The sequence below is a fragment of the Homo sapiens genome, chromosome 3 (assembly GCF_000001405.40).
Source record: "Homo sapiens chromosome 3, GRCh38.p14 Primary Assembly".
NCBI lineage: Eukaryota > Metazoa > Chordata > Mammalia > Primates > Hominidae > Homo > Homo sapiens.
This window is the reverse complement of record NC_000003.12, coordinates 31,421,477-31,429,380: the sequence shown is the minus strand read 5'-3', so window position 1 is coordinate 31,429,380 and position 7,904 is coordinate 31,421,477. Positions and strand designations below refer to the sequence as shown.

General features: G+C 37.1%; 1 annotated feature.

Moving 5' to 3' along the window:
• Window positions 7,460-7,509: a silencer, noted in NCBI's record as "silent region_14159". NCBI's record gives its function as "represses an Ori minimal core promoter by ATAC-STARR-seq in GM12878 lymphoblastoid cells {active_cell/tissue: GM12878}" and the evidence as "EXISTENCE:reporter gene assay evidence [ECO:0000049][PMID:35858748]".

The following is a 7,904-nucleotide window of genomic DNA, read 5'->3' as shown; positions in this document are numbered from 1 at the left end:
GAGGAATTTAAAGTAACTATGATTAATATACTAAGGGTGCTAGAAGAAAAAAATGTAGCAGAAAGATGTAAACTCTAAAAAAGCATCAAAATGAAATACTAGAAATAAAAAACATGATAACAGAAATGAGGAATGCCTTTAAGGGACTCATCAGTAAATTGGACATGGCCGAGGACAGAATCAGTGGGCTTAAAGATGTGTTCATAGAAACGGGGTGAACTGAAAGGCAAAGAGAAATAAGAATGAAAAACTGGAACAGAATATCCAAGAAATCTAGGACAATTACAAAAGGTATAATATACATGTAGTGGGAATACCAGAGGCAAAAAAGTGAAAGGAACAGAAGAAATACTTGGAATAATAATGTCTGAGAATTTTCCAAAATTAATGACATCCAACAAACCACAGATCCAGGAAGGTTAGAGAACATCAAGTAGGATACATAGTAAAACAAAAACAAAACAAAAATCCTGACACCAAAGCACATCATATTCAAACTACAGAAAATCAAAGACACAAATCTTCAAAGAAGCCAGGGGAAGAAAACCACCTTACCTATAAATAATGAGGATAAGAATTACACTAGACTTCTCTTCAGAAATGATGCAAGCAAGAAGAATGTAAAGTACAAGATTTAAAGTGTCAAAAGAAAAAAGCTATCCACTTAGAATTATGTGTCTAGAAAAATTATCCCTTAAAAGTGAAAATGAAATAAGACATTTTAGATAAAAGTGAAGGAATTTGTCCCAAGACATGCCTTGTAAGAAATGTTAAAATAATTTCTTTAGAGTGAAGGAAATAATATAGGTCAGAAACTCAGATCTACATAAAGAAAGGAAGAGTGTTAGAGAAGAAATTATGAGGGTAAAATAAAATCTTTTCTTATCCTTAATTGCTCTAACAATAGTTAACAGTTTGTTAAAAATAATAATATATTGGATGATATACCTTATGGATAGTGACACAAAGGGCAGCAATTTCATAAGGGATGGAAGGGAGGGATTGGGCATATTGTATTACAAGATAACTGTACTAGCTATGAAGTGGTACAGTGTTGTTTGAAAGTGGACTTAGATTAGTTGTAAATGTATATTGCAAACTCTAGGCAACCAGTAAAAATTTTTAAAAAGAAGGATAATTGAATGCTAAGAGAGGAGAGAAAATAGAATGGTATAAAATGCTCAATTAAAACCAGAGAAGGCAGAAAAAGAAGGAAATACCAAAAAAAGAGGAGACACAAAGGCTACACATAGAAAACAGTTACAAATATGGTAGATATTCATCCAAATATACCAAAATCACTTTAAATGTAAATGGTCTAAATACACTAATTAAAAGACAGAAACTGTTAAAGTGGACACAAAATAAGACCCAACTATGTATTGTCTTACAAGAAACTCCCATTAAATATTAAGACAGATAGGGTTTAAATAAAGAGATGGAGAAAGTTATGCCATGCTAACACTAATGAAAAGAAAGCTAGAGTAGTTATATTAACTTCAGACACAGCAGACTTCAGAGCAAGGAAAATTATTATGGACAAAGGAGGGCATTACGTAATAATAAAGGGGCAAATTCTGTAGGAAGACATAACAATCCTTACTGTGTATGCACCAAAAAACACACTGTTAAAATAAATTAGACAAAAACTAAAAGATTGCAAGAAGAAATAGACAAATCCAACTACCATAGTTGAAGACTTCAAATACATACAGCAAGTACTAATAGAACTGAAAAGAGAAATAGACAAATCCAATTACTGTTGGTAACTTCAATGCTTCTAGTTTACCAGCTAATCAAAAAAGTAGACAATCAGCAAGGGTATAGAAGATCTAAGTAACACCATCAACCAGCTTGATCTAATTGACATTAAAAAACACTTTACTTACCAATAGCAAAATGCACATTATTTTTAGGTCCATATGAATATTCATCATGATAAACCATATCTTCAATAATAAAACAATCTTGAATAAATGTAAAAGAATTGAAATAACTCAAAGTATGTTCTCTGACCTTAATGAAAACAAACTAGAAATCAATAAAGATATCTGGGCCGGATGTGGTGGCTCATGCCTGTAATCCCAGCACTTTGCGAGGCTGAGGAGGGTGGATCACCTGAGGTCAGGAATTCGAGACCAGCATGACCGACGTGGTGAAACCCTATCTCTACTAAAAGTACAAAAAAATTAGCCAGGTGTGGTGGCACATGCCTGTAATCCCAGCTACTTGGGAGGTTGAGGCAGGAGAATTGCTTGAACCAGGGAGTCGGAGGTTGCAGTAAGCCAAGATTGTGCCATTGCACTCCAGCCTGGGTGATAAGAGTGAAAATCCATCTCAAAAAACAAACAAACAAACAAAAAATACATATATATATATACATATATATATATATATATATATATATATATATATATATATATGGAAAATCCCTCAGTATTTAGAAATTAAACACATAATTCCAGATAATTTATGAATCAAAGAGGAAATCTTAAGGCAAATTAAAAAATATTTTGAAATAAATAAAAACACATCGTATTAAAATATGTGGGATGCAGCTAAAGCAGTGTTTAGATTCAAATTTTTGGCATTAAGTGCACATATTAAAAAAGAAGAAAAGTTTCAAATCTGTAAGCTTCCACCTTAAGCAACTAGTAAAAGAAGAGCAAAATAAGCTCAAAAGAAAGCTAAAGGAAAGACATAATAAATATAAAAGCATAAATCAATAAAATAGAAAACAGAAAAATAGGGAAAAGTCAATGAAACAAAGAGGCAATTATTTGAAAACATCAATAATACATACATAATACCTGATATGGTTTCGTTTTGTCCCCACCCAAATCTCATCTCGAATTCCCATGTGTTGTGGGAGAGAACCGGTGAGAGGTAATTGAATCATGGCGGCAGGTCTTTCCTGTGCTGTTCTCAGGATAGTGAATAAATCTCACAAGATCAGATGGTTTTAAAAAGAGTTCCCCTGCACGAGCTCTCTCTTTTCCTGCCGCCATCCACATAACATGTGACTTGCTCCTCCTTGCCTTCTACCATGATTGTAAGACCTCCCAAGCCATGTATAACTGTAAGTCCATTAAACCCTTTTTCTTGTTTAAATTATCCAGTCTTGGGTATGTCTTTAATAGCAGTGTGAGAACAGGCTAATACAATACATCTATCCATACGCTCCAGGGAAAAAATAAAAGACACAAATAATCAACATCAGAAATGAAATAGGAATATTACTACAGACGCTGCAGACTTTAAAATGGTAATAAGAAAAATCTATAAATAACTCTATACACATAAATTCAACAACATAGATAATATGGACCAATTCCTTGAAAGAAAAAAAATTAGCAAAAGTTATTTAAGAAAAAATAGTCCTATATCTTTTAAAGAGATTGAATTCATATTTAGGAATCTTCAAAAAAAAATCCCACAGAAAACAAAAGTCAATAACAAAACCAAATCCCAAAACTTTAGACCCAGAGAGCTTTACTAGTGAATTCTGCCAAACACTTAATGAAGACCAAAGCACCATTTCTACAAAATCTCTTATATAAAATAAACAAGGAGGGAATACTTCCAAACTCATGATACAACTCTAACATTACTTTGATACAAAAACCAAAGATAGTACAAGAAAAGAAGATAGACCAGTGACATTGATACAAAAATCTTCAACAAAATATCAGCAAATTGAATCCAAGAATATATAAAAAGAATAATGCAATACAACAAAGTGGGATTTATCCTGAGAATGCAAGGATGGCTCAGTATTTGAAAATGAACCAATATAATCTACCATATGAACACACCAAAGAACAAAAATCCTATGTATTGGCTAGGAAGTTCTTCTGACCTGGGATGAGCTGCTTCATATGTTTGTAATCAGCTCTAGGTTGGGTAGGCAGGTCTGCTGATCTTAAGTGGGCTCTCTTATGTGCTTGAAGGTCAGCTGTTGTTGAAGGGGCTTGGATGACTTGGATGGCTGGAATGACTGTTCTCTTTCACATGGTTTCTCTCATTCTTCAACATTTGTTTTTGTGGCACTGGCAAGGATTCCAAAAATAGGACAAAATCATGCACCTGTTAAGACCCAGACTTGGAACTGGTTCACTATCACTTCTATTGCATTTTATTGTCAAAAGAAGTGACAAGACCAGCCCAAATTCAAAGGGTATGAAAATAGATATTTGATTAGAGGACCTACAAAGTCACATTGCAAAGGGGTATTGATCAGGGAGATACAGGGGGAGACAGAGAATTTGGCCCATTTTGGGCAGTCGGTATACACAGAGATTCACTTAGGTATTTTCAAGAAAAGGGCATTCATTACAAAGTACACATGGCTATATATTACAGCTTGCAACTAGACCTAATCTTAGAAGCTCTATTTTCCTCTGTGTGTCCTGCTAATTAGTGTCTCTCTTCCTTCCCTTCCCCCTCCTCCCTCCCTTCCTCCCTCCCTTTCTCTTTCTCTCTTTCTCTCTCTCTCTCTTCCTCCTTCCCTCCCTCCCTCTCCTTCCTTCCTCTTTCTTTCTCTTTCTTTCTTTCTTTCTTTCTTTCTTTCTTTCTTTCTTTCTTTCTTTCTTTCTTTCTTTCTTTCTTTCTTTCTTTTCTTTCTTTCTTTCTTCTTTCTTTTCTTTCTTTCTTTCTTTCTTTCTTTCTTTCCTTCTTTCTTCTTTCTTTCTTTCCTCTTTCTCTCTTTCTTCTTTTCTTTCTTTCTTTCTTTTTTTTTTCTTCAGGGTCTTGCTCTGTCACCCAGGCTGGAGTGCAGTGGCATGATCATGGCTCATTGCAGCCTTGACCTCCCAGGCTCAAGTGATCATCTCACCTCAGCCTCCCTAGTAGCTGGGACCATAGGAGCATACCACCATGCCTGACTAATATTTAAATTTTTTTGTAGAGACAGGGTCTCACTATATTGCCCAAGCTGGTCTCAAACTCCTGGGCTCAAACATTCCTCCTGCCTCCACCTCCCAGTATACTGGGATTACAGGCATAAGCCACCATGCCCAGCTGTGTCTCTTTTTTTCTATCACAACTGTCTAGATCTTGGTACTAATTCCTGAGTGAGAATGTGATGGGTCATTTCTATCATGGACTATCCACCAAACTGTAGATTGACTGCCAACTGCCCCCCATATCCCCTCAGCATCACCATTTCAGTAATTGTCAGTATTGTGCTACTCCGTGTATCTGCAACTCTCTGCTTGAGGGCTTTCTCTTGTCCCAAGCTTGTGGGCCAGTCTGGCAGTGCTGGGGATCTGATCTACATCAATGGCAGATGATATTGGTGGATATGGCAGATTGTTTGCGTTTAAAGTACCAACTCTTAAACCCTCTCTGAATCCATGCCCCTTGCCTTAAGACTTTGCAGTTTCTCTCACTAAAGAGAGGGTGTCTATTTTCCCATCACTTAAATAAGGGCTTCATGTGATTTTCACTGGTCTGTAGGACATTATATTAGCGGACTTTTTGTAAGCAGAGGCTTGTGAAAGTCCTTGTGCATTTCTGCTTTCTCTGCTATTCCTCTGTGACTGCGCTGAGAACATGGCCAGGCTAGCCTGCGCAAAAATGAGACATATGGAGCAGCCAAGGCCTTTGTAGAACAACTGATAGTCATATGACCCCTGGGCATGTGAGAGTGAACCAAGCTAAGATCAGCAGACCCAACTAGCCAATCCACAGCTGGACTGCAGATGCATGAGTGAGCTTAGCTGAGATCAAAAGAAACTGCCCAGCTGACCTGCAGACTCATGAGCAGAATAAATGGTTGTTATTTTAAGCTACTAGATTCTCCTTGAACTCTAAGCCTGGAGGCTTTAGTGATTCAGGCAGGAGAGGTTAGGTTCCTGACTTCTTTAGCAAGAGATAGGTTTGAGCATTAGGCATTGTTGAGAAGGGAGATTTTTCTAAATTTCTTTAGTTGTTTTTTTTTCATAGCAAAAGCCAGTTTCCCTAGACTTTCTCTTATTTAGTAAAAAAAGAAATACTTATCCCCATCTAGGCTTAGCCTCAAAGCTGGAATTGAGAAGGAGAATATGACACAGAGAAAGCCTGTCCCTTCTGGTGAGATGTTTGAGGGGATAAGAGGAGTCAGACAGAGTGAGAGACTGAGGAAGAAAAAGAAGCCCTTTGGACATGTAGGTCCTGGATATTCTGTCTCATGAAGATGAGGAACAGCATTAGAGGACGCTGTGCAGATCTGAGGTAATCACCATGTCATTCACATGAAGACACTTGAACCCCCTCCTTCTTATACCCAACTGCCATTTTGGAAAGAAATGTTTGTGCACATGTGCGTTGGATATGTATGTATGTGTGACTGGGGAGTGCTGAAAATAATAGAGACTGGGAAGGATAGTGGTTACTCCTGGGGGAAGATATCTTTAGCTCTCAGGCTCTCATGGTTGCAAAATGGCTGTGACATCTACATGTAGCATGTCTGTGCTCCACACAGGATAAAGTTGAATCTTTTAAAGAGCTTTCCTGGAGGTCATAGCCAGCAAATTCCATTTACATCTCATTGATCAGGACTGAGTCACATAATCAAATTTCACTGCAAGATAATCTAAGGAGATCAGTATTTTTAAGTGGACACATTGTCAACCTAAACAAAAACAGGATTCTGTTAGTCAAGAAGGAGTGAACAGATTTTAGGTAGGTATATATGTTAGGGTAATGCTAGCTGCCTTAACAACGAAACTCTAAAATTTCAATGGCTTAACACAACAGAATTTTATTTCTAGGCCATTAAAAGTTCAATGTGGGTGTTCTTGGTCAGTGGTCAGCCTGTTAACATGTTGTGCTGCCATCCTCTAGGGCAAGGGAGTGTTCTTCATTCATTGGACAGATGGGAAGGGAGGGTAGAGAAAGTACACAGTGCTGTAGCCGCCATGACCTAGAAATGGCACATATCACTTCTGCTCACATTTTGTGGGTGAGAACTAGTCACAGGGCTTTATCTTGAAGCAAGCAATCCTGGGAAAGTTTCCTGCCTGGATATCTGCTTCTAGTCACAACTGTACACCTAGAATGGAAGATAACATTTTTTTTCTCAGTTTATTCTTTTCATTTGCCTATATTGTGTATATTGGATAACTGATTAAAAAAACTTTTAATTAAAGCATAGAACAAATCAGAAAGATGCTTATATGATAAATGTATAGCCCAATGCATTTTCATAAACTTAGCACACCTATGTGACCAGTATCTAGATCTAGAAACAGAAAATAATTAGTACTCCAGAATCTCCTCTGGGGTGGATAAGTTTCTTGATGCATAGTTAGCTATTGCCACAGAGATAATCAGCAGTGTCTGCCACAGTCACCAACAGCAGGAAATTTATATTTTCAATTTATCTATGTTGCTTATTAAGTGCCATATCAATCACTGGTGCAATTTGGTGGCTGAGTTTGATGGGAATTTAAGCAAACAACTCTGTGTATAGTCATAGGTCAGGGTACTGCTGCATCCTGAATTGGTTGAATTTCTTGTGGTCTGTTGCATATTCAAAGGGTGCAGGTAATGGAAACCACCCTTGCTGATAAACAATGCTGAGAATGTTTTCAGTTTTGCCTGGTACATGAGAGTGCTTTTTTGGTTCTAAGTAACTAGTGGTGACGTTCAGTTTAATGGATCCTACAAATGAAATGCCCAAAGGAAAACATTAAAATATAGCTGAAATTGTGAGTACATTTGTATTGTGGAGTTTACATAAATGTGAATGAGGCACACAAGTACACAGGAGCTAGTTAAGTGTTTCACATGCTTGTATTTGTGTGGTAGGGTGTTTATCATGGCTTAGTTTGATAAGGCCTAGTTTTAACGAGATCCTTGAATATGCAAATATGCAAAGGGCTGGGTGGTCACCATTTGTGGGTTTGTTGGAGTGGCCTTTG